The 22927-nt window shown below is 53.0% G+C and overlaps 2 protein-coding genes across 14 annotated transcripts in view, besides 5 other annotated features; one reads left to right on the top strand and one right to left on the bottom strand.

Moving 5' to 3' along the window:
- The window catches only part of TXNDC11 (thioredoxin domain containing 11), a 63775-nt gene extending 53418 nt beyond the window's left edge, over positions 1–10357 (top strand). For all 12 annotated transcript variants that reach the window (NR_136674.2, NR_136673.2, NR_136672.2 and 9 more), the window contains 4 exons: positions 995–1137; positions 1474–1583; positions 5195–5275; positions 9603–10357. Coding sequence is in view for 8 of the 12 variants with exons in the window: in NM_001324025.2 (NP_001310954.1) it covers positions 995–1137; positions 1474–1583; positions 5195–5275; positions 9603–10245 (977 nt within the window). In the remaining 4 variants the exon portion in view is untranslated. The remainder of the gene's footprint in view (positions 1–994; positions 1138–1473; positions 1584–5194; positions 5276–9602) is intronic.
- Positions 7865–8221: an enhancer, noted in NCBI's record as "nonconserved acetylation island sequence 94". NCBI's record gives its function as "activates a minimal heat-shock promoter by reporter assays in Jurkat T cells {active_cell/tissue: Jurkat}" and the evidence as "EXISTENCE:reporter gene assay evidence [ECO:0000049][PMID:17135569]".
- On the bottom strand, positions 10288–20985 carry SNN (stannin). 2 transcript variants are annotated; one of them, NM_003498.6, is made up of 2 exons: positions 20900–20985; positions 10288–13465 (listed from the first exon to the last, which is right to left on the bottom strand). In NM_003498.6, exon 2 carries the CDS (start codon positions 13378–13380, stop codon positions 13114–13116), a length of 267 nt encoding a protein of 88 aa, NP_003489.1. In that variant the 5' UTR covers positions 13381–13465; positions 20900–20985; the 3' UTR covers positions 10288–13113. The 2 variants fall into 2 exon arrangements, with proteins under 2 accessions (NP_003489.1, XP_016879230.1); XM_017023741.2 differs by lacking the exon at positions 20900–20985 and adding an exon at positions 15755–16303.
- Positions 15942–16761: an enhancer, noted in NCBI's record as "H3K27ac-H3K4me1 hESC enhancer chr16:11766535-11767354 (GRCh37/hg19 assembly coordinates)". NCBI's record gives its function as "activates a minimal SCP1, AML or CMV promoter by ChIP-STARR-seq in naive and primed H9 embryonic stem cells {active_cell/tissue: H9 hESC(naive and primed)}" and the evidence as "EXISTENCE:reporter gene assay evidence [ECO:0000049][PMID:30033119]".
- Positions 16334–16403: a silencer, noted in NCBI's record as "silent region_7207". NCBI's record gives its function as "represses an Ori minimal core promoter by ATAC-STARR-seq in GM12878 lymphoblastoid cells {active_cell/tissue: GM12878}" and the evidence as "EXISTENCE:reporter gene assay evidence [ECO:0000049][PMID:35858748]".
- Positions 19686–19785: an enhancer, noted in NCBI's record as "active region_10455". NCBI's record gives its function as "activates an Ori minimal core promoter by ATAC-STARR-seq in GM12878 lymphoblastoid cells {active_cell/tissue: GM12878}" and the evidence as "EXISTENCE:reporter gene assay evidence [ECO:0000049][PMID:35858748]".
- Positions 20893–21312: a silencer, noted in NCBI's record as "silent region_7206". NCBI's record gives its function as "represses an Ori minimal core promoter by ATAC-STARR-seq in GM12878 lymphoblastoid cells {active_cell/tissue: GM12878}" and the evidence as "EXISTENCE:reporter gene assay evidence [ECO:0000049][PMID:35858748]".

Genomic DNA, 22927 nt, shown 5'->3' with positions numbered 1-22927 from the left:
TTAGGAAATAATTCTTGGTTTCATGTTTCAAAAACATAGCCAACTAAGTGTTTCTCAGATGCTGATCATGAATTCTCTTTAGTATTCACATGACATTCTTCACTTCCTCTTCCATTCTGCACGCTGCATTGCCCATTGCACCTCAAAATGGAGGGAGTTAGAAGAAAGAAAAAGAACTGAAACTTTAGCTGAGTGCAATGGTGGACGCCTGTAGTCCCAGCTACTCTGGAGGCTGAGGTAGGAGGATCGCTTGAGCCCAGGAGTTTAAGGCTACAGTGAGCTATGATTGCAGCACTGTACTCCAGCCTGGGCAACAGAGTGAGACCCTGTCTCTTTAAAAAAAAAAAAAAAAGTGAAATTCAAATTAGTATTGTTTCAGATGAAGCAAAGGACTCTGAAGATGGCAGAATTTGTGGTAAAACTGTTGGTTCAAATCAGGTTTTTGATTATTATGGGTTTTATGTATTTTTCCACTACATATAATTTTTTCTTAACCTTTAAAAAAAGAAACTTAAAGAACCTTAATAAAGGAAACAAAAAACTGTAGCTCCTTGTCCTCAAATTAATGAGCATTTAAACACATTCCACACTACTGTAGCTTGTGCAGTTGTCACATTTGTGGTTAAGCTTAAAGGTCTTAGTATTATAGGGTGAAATTTCTTGAAAAGATGGTGGCTTGTTGATGATTTATACAGTCTCACTTGGTGTCTATTTGTGGACCAGTCCTTTTAAAAAAAGAATAGTCTATGAATATTAGAGCATCTAACATTGCATAGTGTTTTGTTATCCACATTACTGTCTGCTGAGTTAATACTACCAGAGCTAAACCTGATGCCACCCGGGCAGCTTTGTTTGGGGTTTTGCTGATAGGTGAAATGTTAAAAATGTGAGCCTATGAAGTCATTTGAGTTTTTAAAATGTGGAGTTTAAAAGTAGGCCAGCTATTCTCTTTGTATCTAGAGGAGAGTTGATCTCATTTTCTCTTTATTTTTAGAGTCTTTTATTCAAAACTTCAGCGTTCTCTATAGTCCCTTGAAAAGGCATCTCATTGGAAGTGGCTCTGCCCAGTTCCCGTCTCAGCATTTAATCACTGAAGTGACAACTGATACCTTTTGGGAAGTAGTCCTTCAAAAACAGGTATGGAGTCATGAGAGGCAAAAGTTAAGCCATCTGTCCCTCTTAAAATAATTTCCAAACTACAGTTGTTGGGGTGAGCAGCTGTTTTTGATGTATAGAAGAGTAACCACGTGATGGCCCAATTATGGACCGTGAATGAATTACATGTGGTTTTTAAATTTCAGAAAAGTGCTCCAGAAAGCACAGTATTGGAAAGACCTAAAGATGAAAATTTTCACTGTAATATTTGCATAGGTAGCATTTTTCGGGTGCTTGCTGGATTCTAAGCAATGAGGAAAGAAATGAAGAAGAGCCCATTTCCCGGTGCAAGTAACATCTGTCTTCCCTTTCCCACAGGACGTTCTCCTGCTCTATTACGCTCCGTGGTGCGGCTTCTGTCCATCCCTCAATCACATCTTCATCCAGCTAGCTCGGAACCTGCCCATGGACACATTCACTGTGGCAAGGTAAGCAGGCCTCTTCTGCAGCGCTTTGGGCTGTATGCCCATTTTCACTCTTATTTGCAGCTTAGCCATATGGTGTGTGAGGGTCTGCCCATTTTCCATTAACCTTTGGTAGGACTTGGCTGAATTTAATTGTCAGGTTGAAGCCATGAGCAAAGCCTCTTTGAAACTGAACTTTTCCTCATGAATTCTGAGTGTTCCTTCCATGATGTTGATGTTTAGCCCTGACTAGATTCGTAGGTGGCTGAGTGCAGTTCTGTGGGGAGAGCACTGACCTGGTTGCCAGGATGGCCCCGTGGAATACCATGGGACAGTTGCCCCAGGCAATGCCAGTGGGTCCTGGGATCCCAAGCAGATCTCTCCACCAGCCCTGGTTTATCTCATTTGTGAAATTAAAAGGAAAGACCAATAGATATCCACATTCTGGTATTGTGATTCCATGGGTACTGTATGTGCGCTTTTGAGTAAACAAAATTTTTAAAAATATTTTTTGGGAAAAGAAGGCTCAAATACAGAGTCTTTAGATGGGGTAGTAAGCAGTTTTGGGTGAGGAAAACTGTTCACATTTAACCCCCCACCTCCCCCAAAACCCTACAGATAGATAAGAGTTAAATATAAAAAAATCAAAACAAAAAATAGGATTTGCTGATTCCTCTGGGAGATGGAAACTTTCCAAAGTGGAAGCAGTTGGAAAAATAAAGAGAGAAAAATGGACAGATTCCACTAGAAATACGTGCAGTGAAAACAGGGAAAGCAGACAAAAAGGGGGACCATTAATATATTTTCCAGTGTCTCTGTGTCACCTGTTATATGCACTGTAAGTAATAATTAGAATCAAATCTGAGGAGTTACTATGTTGGGAGAGTTTTTGATATACATATTACCTGACTGAGTCCTTGCGACGCTTAGTGAAGGCACTCTAGTTAAAAAAAGAAAGTGCTATTTGTGTTGAGGAGGAAACTGAGACATAGAAAGATTCGACAAGTTGCCCAGAGTTTCAAGCTGCAAATGAGGGGCCAGGATTAAATCAGGCATTCATACTCCAGCCTCCCCGGAAATTAAAATGGTTTAGAAGATGGCTGAGACCGATTCCATTCTGAACAAAGGATGTGAGCAGGTTTTTCTTTTAAGAGGAGAGAGTAAATAAACAAGTGGGGAAATTATAACCTAATAAATGTAAATTAAAACAGTAACAAAGTATCATTTAACATATTAAAGTAATCAGTGGTTTTAAGTGACAGAATCTTGTGTTGATAAAATAAAATGGAAACTGCAGTCAGATGTATCTAATGGAATGAGTACATTGCCATAACTCTTTTGGAAAGCATTTTGGCAACATTTACAAGAAATCAACAAAAACAGTTAACACATTTTTGACCCAGTTAATTTTACTTTGGAGAAGTAATGGAATAGGAATTCCGAAGAAGCATGAGCTCATCATTATAGCATTGTTTACATCCACCAGGAGATGAATGTTTAAGTAAATTATGGCTGGGCATTTAATGGAATTTTTATCCTTCAACAGTGCTTTTCATACAGTTAATGGAAAAGAACAGAGTATGAAATATATGACAACTCTTCTTAAAAATATGTAAGGATATAGGCGAGGTGCAGTGGCTCATGCCTGTAATCCCAGCATGTTGGGAGGCCGAGGTGGGCGGATCACCTGAGGCCAGGAGTTCGAGACCAGCCTGGCCAACATAGTGAAAACCTGTCTCTACTAAAAATAAAAAATTAGCCAAGTGTGGCGGCACGTGCCTGTAGTCCCAACTACTCAGGAGGCTGAGGCAGGAGAATCACTTGAATCCAGCAGCCGGAGGTTACAGGGAGCTGAGATTGCACCACTGCATTCCAGCCTGGGCGACAGAGCAAGACTGTGTCTCAGAAAAAAAAAAGTAAGCATATAGACCAAGCCTGCAGCCTGCATAAGAAAGGGGGGCCTTATTTAGCCCAATGGAATTCTGAGTGGATTTTTACAATGTTTTAATTTTATAGTTTGCTTTCTTTGAAGTAAGAATCAAGTGAGAAAAAGCATTTAATTATGGAATATAGTGTTCACTCCCACTTGTTTAGAAAGGAACACTAATGTTTTAGGTAGGCTGGCACAGGTGAGGCAGGAGTGCTGTTTTGTTAGTAAACTTTTGGTAAATGGTTTTCATTTGGTTATGCCTTTTGTTGCTGTTGTTGTTTTTTGTTTTTGTTTTTTTTTTTGAGATGGAGTCTTGCTCTGTTGCCCAGGCTGGAGTGCAGAGGTGCAATCTCAGCTCACTATAAGCTCCGCCTCCCGGGTTCACGCCATTCTCCTGCCTCAGCCTCCCGAGTAGCTGGGACTACAGGCGCCCGCCATTATGCCCAGCTAATTTTTTGTATTTTTAGTAGAGACGGGTGGCGTTTCACCGCGTTAGCCAGGATGGTCTCGATCACCTGACCTCGTGATCTGCCTGCCTCGGCCTCCTAAAGTGCTGGGATTACAGACGTGAGCCACCACGCCCGGCGTTGTTGTTTTTTTGAGACAGGGTCTCACTCTGTTGCCCAGGCTGGAATGCAGTGGTGCAATCACAGCTCACTGCAGCCCCAACCTCCCAGGTTCAGGTGATTCTCCCACCTTCCCAAGTAGCTGGGACTACAGGCATGTGCCAGAATACCCGGCCAATTTTTTGTAGAGACAGGGTTTCCCCATGTTGCCCAGGCTAGTCTCGAACTCCTGGGCTCAAACAGTCCACCCACCTCGGCCTCCCAAAGTGTTGGATTTACAGGCGTGAGCCCCTGTGCTCAGCCTGGTTGTGCCATTTTTTGAAAAGCAAATTTCATCCTTTTGGACACATACATGACACTTACCGCACCCTCACTCCCCCCAGTTATGCTTTCTAAAAACTTCTGTCAAGGTAAAGATTGAAAACATGTTCATCTTTTGTGTGCACTGTTTATGAATAGTAGCTGAATAGCCCCTCCGCAAGGAGGATGCAGCCCCTTCCATAAAGGATGCTGTTGTGGCTCCATGTCTGCTTAGCCCGAGTGTGGGCGCCCAGCTGTGTGCCCAGCTCTGTGCCAGCTGCCCGGGGCAGGCCTCTAGAGCAGTTGCGGTTAGCTCCCACAGTGATTGAGCACAGGCTGGGTGAGTTAGTACAGATGTCATTTTCTGTATTAGAAAATTAATGTCAAATCTGCTAAGAAAATAGGCTGTTTTTGGTCTCTATCCAGATTTACAACATAAAGAGGGTATAATTTTCCATCTTCAGAGGGGCTTGATGTATTTTGCTCAATGATTTCCTTTCTTTTCCCAGAGCTATTCAGGGATTAAAATACTTGGCTAGATCCTGTCAGGTGAGGAGTGAATGACTCCTCAGGTGTCAGTGCGGCATTTTCTGCAAGTTCATTTTTACTTTCAGGACATCACATTGCCACTCAGTGGAAAGCGTCCACGTAGTAGAATGTTGTATGTCTTGGAAGTATCAGCGCCCAGCTCACACCTGGTAGTACATTCATCGAGAAGGGACTAGCCCAATGTGGGGTGTAAAAAATGCACCAGGTTCTTGAAGTTATCTGAGAAGGTTCTTTCAAGTTGGTGTTTCTTGGGCTGATCATCTGCCATTTCTGTTCTTTCCCTTTACCAGGATTGACGTGTCTCAGAATGACCTTCCTTGGGAATTTATGGTCGATCGTCTTCCTACTGTCTTGTTTTTTCCCTGCAACAGGTAATGCCAAATTTTTGTCACTGGTGGGCAGTTGGGATTCTTTTGTGGAGGTCTGAAAATGAAATGGGTTTAAGATGTAAATCATTCATTATGTTCAAAAAATGTTCCCTTAGGAACCAGGCGTGGTGGCTCATGCCTGTAATCCCAGCACTTTGGGAGGCTGAGGCAGGCAGATTGCTTGAGCTCAAGAGGTTGAGACCAGCCTGGCCGACATGGTGAAACCCCATCAGTACAAAAAATACAAAAATTAGCCAGGCATGGTGACATATGCTTGTAATCCCAGCTACTCTGAGGCTGAGGCACGAGAATCTCTTGAACCTGGGATGCGGAGGTTGCAGTGAGCCAAGATCACACCACTGCACTCCAACCTGGGTGACAGAGCGAGGCTCTGCCTCAAAAAAAAAAAAAAAAAAAAAGTGTCCTTAGGGACATAAAAGGGTTGTAGTGTCAGGATGTTATGTGTGGTATGGATCTTTTAAAGGTTGTTTTTCCCAGTCTATCTCTTACCCGAGCTTGAATGTGGCCGTGAGAATTCTTAGCTTTCATGGCCTGTATGAACATATGGAGGACGCAGAGACTGACAGGATTCTTCTGTTGCCCTGGCTGGAGTGCAGTGGTGCAATGTTTGTGTGGGGCAAAACAGCAGAGAATCTGTGGAGCCCTGCCTGCCCCAAGCCTTCCACTTGCTTGTCTCTCAGTTGGCCTCCCAGCAGCTCCTCATCCCTCTCGTACAGAGGACAGGGTGGCTTTCTTACCCATGGCACGTCCTTTTCTCGGATTCCAGGAGGCCTACAAAGGGGTTTTCTCCCATGCGTGCAGACTGCTGTGAACGTCCGCCATGGGATGGTCGCTTGATTTTTTCACACTTGCCTAATCAGTATTCCAGGTGCAGTTCTTAACGGCAACTACCCCGGAAGCCCCTGCAAGCAGGACATTAACAAGGGGGAGCGGACTTCCAGTTAGTAAACGTAGATGCAGATGTTTTAGTGGAAAAAGAAATTAACTCTTGGTCCTTTAGAGCCTAATACACTGGATGTTTGCTCCCTTTTTATAGATTCCCTTTGGTTTTTAGAAAGTTGAGTCCTTTTGGGGACCCACTCACATGACTTTGACAGTATCTTCTCTCCAGGGGAAAGTGTCTGCAGCATCATTTAGGGAGTTCCCTGGCTCGCATGTATGACGTTTGCTGTTTTAATTTCCTGCCTCCCTTTTGCGATTCAGCTTGTCATGTTTCTCTAGGAGAGTGTTTCCTTCATATCTATTGAATCATTCCCTTGGTTTTTGCTTTGTATCTCAAAGAATTTTTGCGGGAGTACTTCTGTGGTAGTAGGGTCTTGTCACATCATGCACTAAAAACAGAATGTGACTCACCCTTTTCTACTGCTGACTGAGTTGTGATGAGGCTTTTTCTTTCTAAGAAGTGTTTAAATTACCACATAGTCCAGGAATCACGGACAGTAACACTAACACTTTCATCTGTGTGGGCCAGGAGTTGGGCATGTAGTTTAATGACGTATAATTTTTGAATTCCAAGCATAGTTTGAAAAAATATGAAAATCTTAGCACCCAGCACATGCCTTTTAATGAAGAAGTTCTCAGCAGCTGGCAGAAATGCATCTGTGTAGAGAGACACAGGCGGAACAGGTGGCAGGGTGGGGCGTCATCTGGAGGCCTGCGTCTGGGCTGAGTGACCTTCGTTCTTAGGCTGCCTGGTGTGGGAAACGTGAAGATGTGCGCATTTCTCCGGCCCCATGCTGGGCACTTGCTGCAGGCCCTTACCCTTGTCGTTTCTAAATATCGAACATAAGAAGACTGTCCACTTCTCTTTTAATGTAAGGATGTTGGTAAACCAAAGCTTTATGGCTTTGGAATGGAATTTTTCTCATTTCCTAAAAATAAATGGTAGAAGTAAAGTATGCTCATCATGAGCTGGTCCCAAGCGAGTGTTTGGTTTAGCCAGAAGGTAAATGGGCAAGCAGCGTGAGCTGACAGCTTGCAAAAGAGGAAATGAAAAAGGCTGTTGGATAACATGTAGTAAGACCTTTTTCATTGTCCACCTGCTTATGCTATTTTTAGTGAAAAGAATATGAAATTGTATATTTACTGTGATAAAATATAAACTTGTGCATGTGCTAGGTGGAGATGTTCACAGAGGGGAAAATGTTGAGGTGTTAACATTGATGACTTCAGAGGAGTGAGATTGCAAGTGATTTGAAGGTGCTGCTTGTATGTTTTTACATCCCTTGCAAATTGTCTACAAAGAGCATGTCTTGATTTATAAAAATCATGAAGGAAAAAAATGCAAGAGCCTGTCCTTGGGAGGAAGAGGAAGGGGTGGGGCCTTGAGGGAGACATAGCCTTCCTGTGCAGAGGCATCTTGGAGCCACTTGCTCCACCGAGCAGGTGCTCCTCCAGCCAGCACTTGCGTCAGACTCTGTGTGACATTGCAAAATATAGGTGCTCTGGCCTGGCCCTGGGCCAGGGTGATGAGGGGGAGATGGGTGCTCCTGTCCACCAAGAGACTCTGATGTGTCCCAGGGGAAGAATCACAGTTTTTTAGAGGTGTGCCCTGCCACTCCCTCAGGGTTAGAGGAGAGTTGCATAGACATGGGGACCTCTTCCCACCATAGTTTCACATGACTGCTTTCCTGGAAGTAGACTGTTGACATTCTCTGTCCCTGCTACTTTCACAAAGTGTGGCAGTATTTTAGTGTGCCCATTAGGGACATTGATGGAGAGTGCACCAAGACCTCTTAGTTAGCAGATAGCATGCTCACGGATGTCACTGTCCTGTAAATGTCTGGAGGTAGACATCCTGAGGGATCTTGGCAGCTTTTTCTGGGAAGTAATTCACGTTTACTCTGCCTTACAAGACCAGGCTTGTGCCGCAGAACGTGGGGGCAGGTCCAGCGTCTGGTATTCTTCCATGGGCCCACTTGACAGGGCCACGATGTGTTTTCAGTTGTTGTGGGGTTTTTTGGTTTTCTGTTTTTGAGACAAGGTCTGACTCTGTTGCCCAGGCTGGAGTGCAGTGGTGCAATTACGGCTCACTGCAGTCTTGAACTCCTGGACTCAAGTGATCCTCCCACCTCAGGCTCCTAAGTAGCTGGATCTACAGGTGTGTGCCACCTTGCCTGGCTAATTTTTTTATCTTACTTTTTATACAGATGAGGCCTTACTATATTGTCCAGGCTGGTCTCAAACTCCTGGCCTCAAGCGATCCTCCCACCTCAGCCTCCCAAAGCACTGGGATTACAGGCACACAGCACCACACCCAGCTTTGTCATTTGAATGGCTGGGCCCCACTTGAAGAAAGCTTATATGTTAAGAAAACTAAGCTTTAAAGGAGGGGATGGTTGAATGTTTACCCCAAAATTATAAAACAATTTACGGCCGGGTCCAGTGGCCCTGGGCAGCCAGGCTCTGGAGTCCCTGCTGTTGACTTCCATTCTGTTAACACCTGAGGGAGACAAACTCGGCTGCCGGCCCACCTCATACCTAAGTGCATAAAGCTGGTAGTTTTGATCAATTGCAGCCAGGCTGTACAGGCACAGGTAAATAGATATGTGAGAGAAACATCATCAGACGATTAAATGACAAGTTCTGAAGAGGAATTTTCTAGATCTCTAGATCAGGACCTGGAACAAAGCTGTAGGGAAAACCCCTTTCTATGTCACCTTCCTTCCTTATTCTGTGCTCTCAGGGCTGGGCAGCCTGAATTCATAGTCCTTTGGTTGGGCTGTTTGCCAGTTATCAGGTTGCCAGGTGTGAGCCAGATGTACCTGGGGAATGGGGGTACAGTCACCCCCAGTTGAGAACCCCTGCCTTAGAGAATGTGTAATAAATGCTTGCTGAAGAAACAGACTGGGTATCTTTCAAGTTCTTCCTTTTTCTCCGGGCACTGTCAGTGGGCACAAGAGGGACATAGGTGGGACACTCCTGCCTCCCCTGGACGCTCTTCCTGACACAGCCGCTGGGCATCTCCGAGCACACAGAGGCCCCATGCCTACACACTCCTGGGGCCCTGCATCACTGGCTTTAGGCCTGGGCCTAGGAGCTCTTGTCTTTCTTGGAGGGTGTGGGTGAAGCTGAGCTCTGGCTTCAGGAACAGATAAGCCATCTTAATTACAGAACGAGCATATGGGACAGCCTCAGCTTTGTAGAGAATTTCTTGCCCAGGCAACATTTTCCTTACTTTCAGTAAGTAAAATCCACGGAACGTCTTTTCTTGGTGAGAAGTAGATGGCCTGGCCTCAGGTACAGCCTGCTTTTGGACTCATTGTGTTGGTGTGACTCCTGTCTTTGCTTCCTTTCCCTCTCTCTCCAGAAAGGACCTAAGTGTGAAATACCCCGAAGACGTCCCCATCACCCTTCCAAACCTGTTGAGGTTCATTTTGCATCACTCAGACCCTGCTTCCAGCCCCCAGAATGTGGCTAACTCTCCTACCAAGGAGTGTCTTCAGAGCGAGGCAGTCTTACAGCGGGGGCACATCTCCCACTTGGAGAGAGAGATCCAGAAACTGAGAGCAGAAATAAGCAGCCTCCAGCGAGCACAAGTGCAGGTGGAGTCCCAGCTCTCCAGTGCCCGCAGAGATGAGCACCGGCTGCGGCAGCAGCAGCGGGCCCTGGAAGAGCAGCACAGCCTGCTCCACGCACACAGTGAGCAGCTGCAGGCCCTCTATGAGCAGAAGACACGTGAGCTGCAGGAGCTGGCCCGCAAGCTGCAGGAGCTGGCCGATGCCTCAGAAAACCTCCTTACCGAGAACACGTGGCTCAAGATCCTGGTGGCGACCATGGAGAGGAAACTGGAGGGCAGGGATGGAGCTGAAAGCCTGGCGGCCCAGAGAGAGGTCCACCCCAAGCAGCCTGAGCCCTCAGCCACCCCCCAGCTCCCTGGCAGCTCCCCTCCACCTGCCAATGTCAGCGCCACACTGGTGTCTGAAAGGAATAAGGAGAACAGGACAGACTAACTTTTTAAATGATATGAAGAAATCAGAGGTGAAAATTGTACATTGGGAATATATTTATGCAAATTTTATTGAAATTTATTGTAAATAAAGATTTTCTCAGTGGTCTAGAAAATCAGCTTGAATGTCATTCAGCATTTATTGAAGAAGGATGACATCCCTTCCACTTATTGCACAAACTTGGTAGCTTTGAGACAAATACAGTAGCACAGTCCGTTTGAAGATTTGTCCAAAAAATTAGTCCATATTTTAGTGGCTCAGTGTCAAGAGTTCCCTCCCTGTGCCCCCACTGTTGCTTCTGCAGTGATACGAAGGATGAATGCTTAATTTCTTATTAGTCAGAAAACTTGAATGCAACAGTTGGGCATTCAAAAATAATCCAGAGAGGTCATAACCTACTTAGCCATTTGAGTGTGGCTCTGGTGTCTGCTAAAAAAAGTAGCTATTGAAAAAACAGTGAGAGCTATGATGTGGTTCACTCATTCTAGAAGCATTTTCATTTTCCTCCCGAAAACCCCCCCAGTGCCTCACCGAGCCCCGGACCTTCACCCAACACGGCTGCCACGCTCAAATGGGCCTGATTCAAACTCCCAGGTACGTCCCTGGCACCAGGGAGTAGGATAAGAAAACCTCCAGAAGTGAAACTGATGAGGAAGTGACATTTAATCACTTCAAAACCGAAACTTCACTGGCAAGGTCAAAACCCCAGGCCAAGGCTGACAATCGAGCGCTGGTCAGTTCCAGGGGTCAGGCTCGGAACCTGAAAATGCAGATCCTAGCTGTTGCTGCGTCCCTCAGGTGTGGAGGAAGGAAAAACAGCCTAGGTGTATGTGCTGGCTGTGGTGAGAGTCGAGGTAGAAAGCCTGGAAGTTCTGAAACGTGAGGGGATGGATCACACGCCCCAGCCTTTTCTCACTCACCAAAGCAAACTTTTACCCCCTTCTTCCAGTCGGCACCTTTGGAACTTGTTCTCCCTCCTAGGCCTGGTTTCAGTGGCCCCCACCACGTGTCCTGCCCACCCAGCCTGCAGGGCTTCTGCTGACATCACGCCTACCCCACCACCACCTCTTCTGAACTTGCCACACCATCAGTAGCCAGAGGTGTTGCCTCTCCTGCTTCCTAAGGTCTCCCAAGAGCCCAGCTGAGGTGTTTCATTACCACCTTCTGCTCAGGTGGCCCAGCCGGCTGTCCCTCTTCCACCCCAAGCTCCTACTTAATGTTTAAACCCCCAATTTAGGTGTATGCTGCTTAAACGAACAGCTCCCTACTTCTCCCGCCTCGGGGTTCCAGAACGTGGATTCATTCAACATGGTTTTTAGAAGAGGCTTGGGTGAGGCCAGAGGAGGTGCCTTTAGTCTGAGCAGGAGGCCAGAGCTCTGAGCTCAGCCATGAAGGGCCAGTGCTCTGTGGTTAAGCCGGGGCTGACCTTCCATCTATTACAGGGATGGGCAGGCACGAGTCACATTTGAATCATAAATAAAATTAGTATGTGCTTGTGGTGGGATTAAAAATCAAAGTGAGCTCACTGAAATGTACATAGGGGAGGCCTTGGAGACAGGCTGTGGAGACACTAGCTCACCAGAGAGCCACCAGCTCACCACCTGTGGGAGAGTCAAGTCCTGAACTTCAAGTTCACCTCTGCCCTGCCCCGGCTCCCTGCCGCAAGCACAGGCTGGCAGGAAGCAGTCTGGTGGCTCTTAGGGGAATGTGCACGTGAGAAATGTTCCCTGGGTCCTAAGTGCCTTTAGAGCTGGGTCAGGGGACTGGAGACCCGCTGAGGAAAGTGAAGTCAGAACCCCATAGGCGGACGGTCATCAGAGAGGAAAGGAAGCCAAGTGATGTGAAGAGGGAAGAGGAAAAGAAGAAAAAAGACAGAACCTCAACAGTCCCCTCCCCTCCAGTGCAGAAAATAGGAAACACCAACACAAAACATACAACCTTTTCTCTTTCCTGGGCCAAGTGGGTTTCAGACCAAAAGTAGCCACCACAGGCTCTATGAGGACCAAAGCAATTTCAGCGAAGCCTTCACTCGGGGTGGAGGGTTGGTGGGGGGCTTGGCGTGCTGAAGACCCAAGCGGCAAGAAACTGCTCTGCTACAAGGACGCTGGCAGCCTCCAGGACGCGTGCCCTGACTCGCCCTTCACTGGCTCCCAGGCAGGTCCGGTAGCTTCCCTGCAGTAACTCCACTCTCAACAGAACTGCTATTTAACAAGTGAGTCTATGCAGAAAGAACGGAGGGGTGCGGGGGGTGTGGTTTTTCTTCCACCCATGACTAATGAAGCAGAGATCACCCAAGCACCCCAACTGGTCAGCCTCAAGACCCCAAATTGGCATCTCACTTCCTTGACATACACGCAGATGGACACACATGAGAGACCCCTGCCGAGTGTGGCGTGGGCCTTTACAAGCCTATGACCCTCCAGGGTCTTGACTCAGCTTGTCATTAGTACAGCCAGAATACCAGTCCCGTGTGCGCTAGATGATATTTTTAAAAATCAGCAAAAGGGCTTAAGCACGTGCTTCCAGGGGCCTATTTACAGTTCACAGGTTTGTTAGTTCACGCATTACAGTAGTAGCTCCATCAAAAACAGGCTCAGCTAGACATTCAAGTAACAAAAGCGCTACAGGGCCATGAGCCCCAGCAAGGTCAGGCCTGCCCAGTGCCTGCAATGGGCAGCCTCACCTGGAGGCCGAGGGGAAGCCCAGGACAGCCAGGTCCCCGGGCATCAGTGCATGCGATGACGAAGCCCGCAGAGGCCATGCCAGCAAGTGTCAGCCCTTCCTCTCAGACAGCAGCGCATCCGTATGGTTTTGCCCCTCCCAGCGCCTCTTGGCCGGCTGCAAACAGGACCAGGAGCCTTGCATCCTGGCTCAGCCGTGGACTTCCGGGCCGTTGGGAGTCATCAGCTTGGCCTTTCTCTCCACGCACGGTCCCTTGGCCGAATACTGCACCAGCAGGAAGGGTTCCTTGGTCTCCCCATCCCCCACGATGCTCTCCTCGTCCTCTGACTGGCTGATGCGCTGCAGCCGCAGGTAGCACCAGCAGCCCAGGATCAAGGCCCCCAGGGCCGCGATGGCAATGAGGATGACGATGACTGTGACCACGCCCGTGGTGGGGCTGTGGTCCATAATAGACATGGTCAGTGCTGGGGGCTTCCTCGGCTGGCAGCACTTTGGGGGTGGCCACTCAGTGAGGCTGGAACTCAGGCTGGACACGGGAGTCCTGAAAGACAAAGCAGGTTGACGAGCTGCGGTTAGCACTTCCACGGGGTCTATTTTTAATCGTTCTCAGACCTGCCCATCCCACCCTCACCCTGACAAAAAGCATGCTGGCCGGCGTTCGAAGGCGTCTGCTCACCCACGCTCACCCAGCTCCTGTTCATGACCTTTGAAACCCCGAGTGCTGCTGTACCAGGCAGGTGAGTCACCCTCGCTGGCGGCAGAGCCGGGAACACTGCGACAGCGACAGCTGCAGCAAAGGATGCCAGAGGGCCAGACATGGTTCTGGTTCTTCAGCTGAAGGTGTGCCTTCGGGAAGCCCAGCCCCAACTCAGTGTTCATGACCACTCAGGGACTGAGGGCAACTGGGGCCTCCTAATGGCCAGAGATGGGGGTTTGAAAGCAGATAAATGGCCAGGTGCAGTGACTCATGCCTGTAATTCCAGCACTTTGGAAGGCTGAGGCCGGCAGATCACTTGAGCCCAGGAGTTTGAGACCAGCCTGGCCAACATAGTGAAACCTCGTATCTACTAAAATACAATAATTAGCTGGGCATGGTGGCACATGCGTGTAATCCCAGTTACTTGGGAGGCTAAGGCATGAGAATTGCTTGAAGCTGGGGGGCAGAGGTTGCAGTGAGCCGAGATCTCACCACTGCGCTCTAGCCCTCCAGCCTGGGCGACAGGAGCAAGAGTCTCTTCAAAAAAAAAAAAAAAAAAAGAAAAAAAAAAGAAAAAGAAATGACAATGACATCAGTCCCTCTCCCAAACAGACATCATATACAGAACAGGCAGGTCCTTTGGGGACACCTGTGAGAGGGTGTACTGGACAACAGCCTTTGTCACCAGGCACTGCATCGGGCCTGGGAAGACCCCTGGAACGCGGCACACCATCTGAGAAGGAAGCTGGGCGGTAGAGTCCCTTGTGTGGTTTGGACGGAGGCCAACCAAGGAAGCAACAGGGTAGAGTGTCCCGGGAGATGGAGACAGGCACTTGGGAAAGCTTCGGGGAGGCAGGGAGGGTGAGACAGAGGCTCCCTCCCTGATGGTGCTTAGCATCTAATGCAGGCGCCAGACTGTAACTGGTTAGTACCCCAAATGCCGGTCACTCACAATACAGGGTGCCATTGTCAGGAACACAGCAACCAGGTGCCAAGATGCTAACCTGGGTGGGCAGGTGGGAGGCAGGGAGGCGGTGCTGATGGGGAATAGTGTTCCTGGCAGGGGGCACGGTGAGGGCTAAGGCTCTGAAGGCAGAGAGGGTCCCCCTGGCAAGTGCCAGGAGTCGGGGCACCAGCTGATTTGGGTGGGAGCGGGGATGAGGCCCCTCCCAGGCCAGGCCAAGCCTGTGCTCCACATGTTGAAAGAATGACGCCAGAAGTTGGAGGGCTGGGACCACCACCTCCACCTGGCCGAGCCACGGAGTTCACCCATGGGTGGGCCTGCCAAGTGGCGGAGGACAGTGTGGCTATGGAATGCACATAAGGTCTAAGAGTCCCCAGCTCCAGGCACCCTGTCAACCCTCTAGGTGACACCCAAGGCACAGCCAGTGAGAGCATGCTGAGGCCAGGGCTTTGCCTCTGCTGCCCCGCAGTGCTGAGGCTGGCAGGTTCTCTGGAGTCCCAAGACCCTGCACTTTCTTCCCTCTCCTGCCTCGCTCGCCACAAACAGAGCAAACGCTGGCTGCACCCGGGGTCAGTGAGGATGAGGACAGGCCCGAGACGCGTTCTACACAGGACTGGGCGTGCGGTCGGCACTCAGAACGACACGTCTGGCTTTTTGTTCCCTTTGGATAAGACTGACATCAGCACAGGCAGACAGCACTGGAAGGAGGTTTTCCCTCCAAATAGGGTCGAACCTGCTGCGTCCTTGAGGAACAGCACCCTTAAGGAGAAATGATTCTTACCCAACCAGGAGTTTCCCCAGAAGCCAGGTTTGCCTGAAGGACAAAGGCAGCTAAGTCAACGCCCCCAGCGTCTGTCCAGGGACCAGGCCCGGGGAAACCGGCAGCTTCTGCAGAGGGCCCTGGGCAGAGGAGGTGCCCTCCCTCCATTCCACTGCCTTCCCCCTGACTCCAGGAGACAGGCTGCCGCAGGCGCTAAGGATCTCCCTGCCCACCCTCAGGGGCCACTGCAGCCAGGACGCCTTCCAAGTCCTCACAATGACCTGCAGGACCGAACACTACACATCCCCAATATGCCCTGCTCGCCAGCCACGCTGACCCCCGCAACGAACCCTCCTACCAGGCCCTGGCCCAGGCAGTTGCCCCTGCCCAGAACGTTCTGGCGGCTTACCCTTGTTCAGTGGTTCTCAACTGGGGGCCACTGTGTCCCCACCCTGGGGACATCTGGCCATGTCTGGAGCCACTTCTGGTTGTCACAACTGGGGGCAGGTGGCACTCCTGGCATCAAGTAGGGAGACCATGGATATTGCTGGCACCTATCGTGCACAGGGCAGCCCCCACCACGCAGATGGCCCGGCTGGAGAAAGACACCCTGACCCGGTTAATACCAGCTCTGGCAGGGAAGCTTTCCCAACCCGGCCGGGCTCCTTCCCTCCGGAGCAGTGGCCTTGGCATGCAACCCTGGCTTCTGGAGCATGGCCACCTGATTAGCGCCCACCTCTCCCTCCAGCGGGCCATGAGCTCCACGGTGGCCCTGCTCTGTCCCCTGCATGTACAGACCACCCTGGCCTCTCCCCTGCCACCATCCGGTTCCACAACCCCACTTAGCTGTTCTCTCACGCCTCCAGACTGGACAGGGGACCCCTCTGACCCCACAGACAGCCTTCCCACCATGGCTGGGTGAGCCTGTCTACACTCGTCCCAACCTCTGTGTTCTCTCCCTGCAAGAAGAACACCAACCTGCCCTGTGCCTCCCACCTCCCACCTCCCTCTCCCCTGCACCTCTGGTTCCCAGGGCCTGCTGGGGTGCCTGCCCTCCCCTGGGGTTTCTGGACAGGAAGACAAGTCAGTATCAATTCGGAAGGGGAAGTGTGTGTGTTTGGGGGTGGGGGTGGTTCAGGGACAGGAAGTAGAAAATCAAACAATGGCACCAGGACCTGGGATAGGCGGGGCAAAGCCAGGTGGGCAGGCCAGGAGGCACCTGAGTTCAAGGGCCCCAGTTCAACCACTGGCCCCAGGACTAATGAGGAAACTGAGGCACAGGCGGCCCCAGCTCAAAGGGATTCTCTAAGAGGAGTGGTGACCCCAAAACCCCGTCTGCTGCCCTGAACCCAGGCCAGGAGGCATGGGCAGAGCCAGATGTGGGGTTCTGCCCCGCCGCGAGCACAGAGCCCAGTGACTGAGCCACAGTCACGCCTGGCCTGTGGTCCGGCCCTCCCGAGTGCGTATCTGTTCCTTCATTCACTCAGCAAATGTTTCCTGAGAAACGATCTTTGCAAAAATGTGATGGCGTTCTCCCCACTCAGAATCCTCCCCAGCACCAAAGAGAATCCAAGCTCCCTGCCTCCCCAGGCGTCCCCACACCCTCCGCTGCGAGCCCACGCTCCCACCTCTGCCCTGACCGCCCCACGGCTGGCACCTTCCTATTCGGGACTTTCTCAGAAGGCGCCTCTTGCAGGCTGCCCTCCCAGACCACCCTGGACCCAGGCGCCCCTCCTCCCACACCCCACCACTACAGCCTTGCCCTACTTCATTTGCTCTCCTTGCTACCTGCCCTTCTCTAGGCTCAGGGGCTGTCCCCTGGCTGCTGTCTCACTCCCCGCACTGGACTCCAAGGCAGTCCAAGGAGGGCACCGTCTGTCCCGCCCACAGCTGTACCCCTGCCCTGCACGGGTACACAGTAGGTGCTCAGTGAATGGTCTGTTGAGTGTTCCCTCCCTGCAGATACAGTGATGAGTTAGAGGAGACCCTGTTCTCAGGGGGATCATAGGTGGGGGGGTCCCTGACACTCAGGGCACTCCCAGAACCCTGAGCACAGGTCCCCATGTTCTGTCCCAACAGACTCAAAAAAGCCGGCAGACTGCATGGGAGAAGGCTGCAGGCCTAGTGTGGGGACAGAACGGCGAGTGCCAGTGGATTAGGGCAGGCCTGAGCCCATGGAAGGGCAGCTGGCTCCATGCTTGCTGGCAGGCAGGGAGGGAAGGGGGTGGCCAAGCAGAGCCCCGGGAAACTCAAAGCGCGGAGGGCAGCAGGTCCCCACAAGCCCCTGTGCCTGGCTGGACCCCACCTGTCTGTTCTTCCTTTCTAGCCCCTCTGAGCAAAGCTGTGTCTTGCAAGCTGGGTAACCCCTCGCCCTGATCCAGTAAAGCCCACAGGATGCAGGGGACAGGGACGGGCCACAGCTTGGGTTGGGGAGATGCCCAGGCTGGCACATGGGAATCCTGGCCCACCCAACAACCATCATGACAGCAGCTCACATTCATTCCCACCAGCATCTGATCCAGAAAGGCTGCAGCCACCTTTGTTCACCCTAGCATCTCCATCTGGCAGGTGAGGAAACTGAGGCGCACGCAGGGAGGTGAAGCAAAAAGCCAGAAGGCAGGATGGGAGCCCAGAGGGGAGCCCAGCAGAGCCAAGGGGTCTTCCAAGTGCAGAGGGGCCAGGACCCAGAGCACAGCCTGGGCCTTCCATCTCTGGGCAGGCTGGAGTGTCCCCTCTGCCTGGCATTTGAAGCCCAAGGCCATCTGGATCCCCCAAACACACACCCTCCTGCTCCATGTGCCTTCAGTCTTGCCATCCTCTGCCAAGGGGGTCCTGACTCTCGGATCCCACCCACCCACTATAAAAGCAAGATCCAAGGCCCAGGCTCTCCAGAACCCCCTGCCCCAGCATCCTCAAACAACCCCAAAGGAGGTCAACTGCAGCACAGGACACACTCTGTCTCCCGGCAGAGCCCACACATGTCCCAAGGAATAACAACTGCAAGACAAGCCTGAGCCATGCCAGGTGAGCGGGGGCCTGCACCGCCCTTGGCCACTCCTCCCCAGCAGCCCAAGCTTGCAGGTGTTACTGACACTGTCCTGCCGGGTTTGCCAAGGCCCACAGAGATCCGTAACTGGGACCCAAGGAGCATGGGGGCAGAGCCGGGGGTGAACCCCACCCCGTCAGAGCCATTCAAATGGACAGTCCCTGCCCCAGCTACCAGAGAGGGGACGGGTATCCTCCTGTCCTGCTCTCCCTCCCAGGACCCCGGCTTGTCTGAGCCTGATCCCACTCCAGAGGCCACTCCATGTGCTCTAGGCCCGGGGGGCCCACAGACCGCAGTAGAGCAGGCTGGAGTCCCCTCCATCCTCCCAGACCAGCACTCACTTTTGCGGCCTGCTTCCGCCCAGCCAAGCAAGCTGCTCCTCTTGGCCTCAGTTTCTCAATGCGCAAAGCGGATACGAGTCCCTGACCTCATCTACCAGGTCGTGGGGAGGATGAGAAGTGGTAAGAAAAGTGAAAACAAAAGGGACATGAGGTCACCAGGTTTGCATGTCACCAGCCACACCTTCCTGTGTGCTACAGCAGGGACAAAGGGAGAACACTGAGCCCGAGGGATCCCCAAGCCCACCCCCAGGGCCAGAAGGGCACAGAGCCTGGCCCAGGCCCAGTGCCACAAACACCCCTTCCCCAGGGACACGCTGCCTCCTCCTAACTCAACCGGGCACATCATGAGCATTGCCGGGCTCACCACCAGCAAAACACCCCCGCCTTGCAGCCGCCACCTCCTGAGGCTCCTTGACAGACGCCAGGAGGGCTGCCCTGCTTACAGGGGACCAGCCATCCCTACGGGGCTTTCAGTACTGCCTCCCCCCATAAAGCCACCTGCCAAGGGTGCCAACAAACTCTTCAGCGAACCCCGGGTCACAAACCAGAAACGTTTCCTGCCCCAGGTTCTGACTGGGAAAACAGGGTTGTAGGGAGAAGAGGGCACTGCTGGACACAGCCAGGACGAGGCGGGACGTCCGTTCTGCCCTGGGCCTCCAGCAGCCAGTGGGACACAAGGACGCATCACACAAGGCCCCAGCCCTCCAGAAGCCAGGACCAAGAACGGCCGGATGCCAGTGGGACTGACACTGATGGGGCTGTGCCCAGCTCTCTGGCCAGTGTTATCTCATCCTCCACCCCCACCCATGACACCCCCATCCTCAGAAGAGGAAACTCGCTCCAGAATCCCCTAGGTTCCCCAGTGGCAAAAGAGGAAGCGGGAGCCCGCAGAGCTCTGAACCGGGACTGCCCCAAGGTCAGTCGGGGTCTTCCTCGGGCCAGGCCAGAGGCTCATGCCCCCACCCTGTGAATCACCCGCTGGTCATTTTCACAGGCTGCCCCAGGGTTGGCCTGTTTGGCCAAACAACTTTGCTTGTAGATGCCGGAGAAAGTTGGTGGCAATTATATGTGCCAGACACTGAGATAAACAGCTCACGCAGATGTCTCCTTTCTGCCTCAAGACAACAGGGCAGTTGAGCTATTACTGTTCCCTCTTGGCAGATACAGAAATTGGTGGCTCAGAGAAGTTAAGTCCATTGCCCAAGGTCACACAGCTCAAAAGTAGACGCGCAGGGATTCAAACCCAGGCAACCTGCATCCAAAATCCCGCATTTCGACCCTGACTCTAAAATGCCACATTCTCCCTACCTCCTCTCCCGCGTGCCTGAGGGGCCGCGGACAGGTGAACCCCAGTGTGGCCCTCGCTGGGGCGGGCTGGGCGACCTGGGCTGGGTGCTGGGGACTTAGGGGTGACAGCGCCCCGGCGGCTCCCGAGTGCTGAGCGCGGGCGGCGTGGCAGGCGCGGTGCCAGGCGCGCTCCGCGCACCCTCCCGTTCCACCCTGCCCGGCGGCGCCGGCGTCTCCCCCACTCCACGGAGGAGCAAAGCGAGGCTCCAGGGAGGAGGGGGCTCGGCCCAGGGGGCGACAGCTGGAGAGGGGACGGCAGCTGGGGAGGTAGCTCGAATCGGCCCGACGGAGGCGGGGTGTGGGACGGGGACCAGGGGAGCTAGGCATGCCCACGCCGCGCAGCCGCTGCCCACGGAACCGGGCGCCGAACGCTGCGGCCCGGCCTCAGTTTCCCTACCCGCGAGACGGGCGCCGGACGTCACCTGGACCCCTATCCCCGGAGCCCTCCCCGGAGCTCCCAGAATTTTGAAGAACCCCGAAATGCCGGGGGAAGGCGGGAGCGTAGCTGAGGACGGGCGGGGGCTGCACGGGCGGGGGCGAGCGCCCCGCGATCCCCACAAAGCGGCCTCCGCCCCCCGCCGCCTCCTTTGTCCGGATCTCGCCGCAGCGCCGCTGACAAAGAACCCCAGCCCGCGGGCGCGGCCCCTGGAACGGACCCTCCCCCGAGCCGCGCCCGCCGGGCCGCCCCTCCCCCGCCCGCAGACCCCGGCCCGGCCCCGCCGCCGCGCGCGCCCCTCCTCGTCCTGGCCTCCCCCTTCCCGCCCCCGGGCCCCGGCGCCCCCGCCCGGCCCGAGCGCGCGGCCTGCCCCGCCCGGCTCACCATGGCGCGGCAGCGGCCCGGCCCGATCGCCCCGCAGCAGCCCCGCGGGCCCGGCTCCGCCCGCCCGGTCCGGCCGCCGCGCACTCGGGACGCAGGAGCCCCGCGCTGCGGCGGGCGGGGCCCGGCTCCTCCCCGGCTGGGGACGGGGCCTCCCAGAAAGGCCAATGGGAGCCCGCGCTGGGACGGCGGGGCGGGGCGGGCCGGGGCGGAGTCACGTGTGCTCGGGGCCGGCAGGCGGTGGGGCGGGGGCTGCGCGCGGCGGGCGGGCTCGGCCCTGGCGAGCGCGGATTGGGCGCCCGTGGGTACGGGGCCCCACTACAGGCGCCCTTCCTCTGCCAGCCTCATCCTGACCCCGGCAGGCTGCCTTGGTCCCGCCTGCTTACAGCGGAGGAAACTGAGGCACGCTGCACGGAAGAGTGCTGCATACTCCTCGAGAGCTGAGAGCGGCGGGGAATCCGGGGCAGGGGCAGGGGAGAGGCGCGACCGCTGAGGTGAATGACCTTGCTTCGGGAGGAAGCTGGGCATCAGTCGTTCGCGAATTCATTTATGTATCATTCATCCGCCCAGTCAGTCGATGGCGGAACACTGACCACGTGCCTGCCACGCCAGTCGTCGTGGGAGCAGCCACGAGCCAGACAAGGTCCCGGCCCTGACGAAGCTCTCATTCCTCTGCGGGATGAGGCTGTGAGGCATTTGCACCCCTCTGCCACCTATAATCATAGTTATTTTTAGCATAATTACCCGGTGGTTTGGCCCCCACCAAATGCCTGCCCTGTATAAACAGCCCAACACATTTTATTAAGATGACTCCGGAAGAAAGAATCTTCCCATTTTACAGATGAGGAACCTGAGGCTCCAAAGAGCTGAAGTCCCACAGCCTGCTCCTGATGGAGAGAGGGTTTTGAGGCCAGGCCTGTCTACCTGGGAAGACAGAGGCTCCAGTTATTGGAGTAATCTCCACTCATCCACCCCAAGAAGGCCATCGGCGAGAGGACACCCCAGCCCTGGGGCCCACAGAAGGGGTGAGGGTGGGTCCCTCAAGGCTTCTGTGGCCCAGGGGACTTGAGAAGACAGGAGGGGGCAGGGCGAGCTGGGACCTCCTCCTGGGAACGGGGGCCTTATTTGCTGGAAACTTCTTTCCCATTCTCAAGCAGAAGCCTCTGGAAGAGCATGGCGGGTTGGGCTCACGAGGCTGAGGTGGCCAGGCCCTCACTCCCTCCACTCAGCCTCGCTGGGCTTTCTTCCCTGCGCCCAGTGCACCAAGCCTTTCCCACCGCCAGGCCTTTGCCTATGTGGCTCCCTGCAGCTGGAACTCTTCTACTTCATCTTCCCGATCTCAGCTTAAGTGCCCCTTCCTCAGGAGGGCCCTCCCTGATCGCCCAGCCAAGAGTAGCTCCCTTGGGGTTTTTTGTTTTGTTTTTGAGACGGGGTCTTGGTCTGTCACTCAGGCTGGAGTACAGTGGTGCAATCACAGCTCACTACAGCCTCCATCCAACTCCTTCCTGGGCTCAAGCCATCGTCCCACTCAGCCTATATCTATGAATGTGGGCAGATTTGACGAAGCAATTTTTTTTCTTTTTTTTAGAGAGAAGGTCTTGCTCTGTCGCCCAGGCTGGAGTACAGTGGTGCAATCATAGGTCACTGTAACCTGGGCTCAAGCGATCCTCCTACCTCAGCCTCCCAGGTAGCTGAGACTACAGGTGCATGCCACCATGCCCGGCTAATTTTTTAATTTTTTGTAGAGATAGGGTCTCTTGTTGTTGCCTGAGCTGGTCTCAAACTCCTGGGTGATCCTCCTGCCCCGGCCTCCCAAAGTGCTGGGATTATAGGCTTGAGCCACCATGCCCAGCCTACCCATTGTGAAATTGTACATTTTTGACATTGTGTGATGAACTTTTGGTCTTCTCTCCCAGGACTAGGTGTATTGCACTCACTGCTGTGTCTACAGAACAGTGCCTGCCACACAGTGGGTGCTGAATACATGGATGTTGAATGAATGAATGATCGGACTGCAGAACTCCAGGGCGG

This window comes from Homo sapiens, chromosome 16 (genome assembly GCF_000001405.40).
Source record: "Homo sapiens chromosome 16, GRCh38.p14 Primary Assembly".
Lineage (NCBI taxonomy): Eukaryota > Metazoa > Chordata > Mammalia > Primates > Hominidae > Homo > Homo sapiens.
This window is presented reverse-complemented; position numbering and strand designations above follow the sequence as displayed.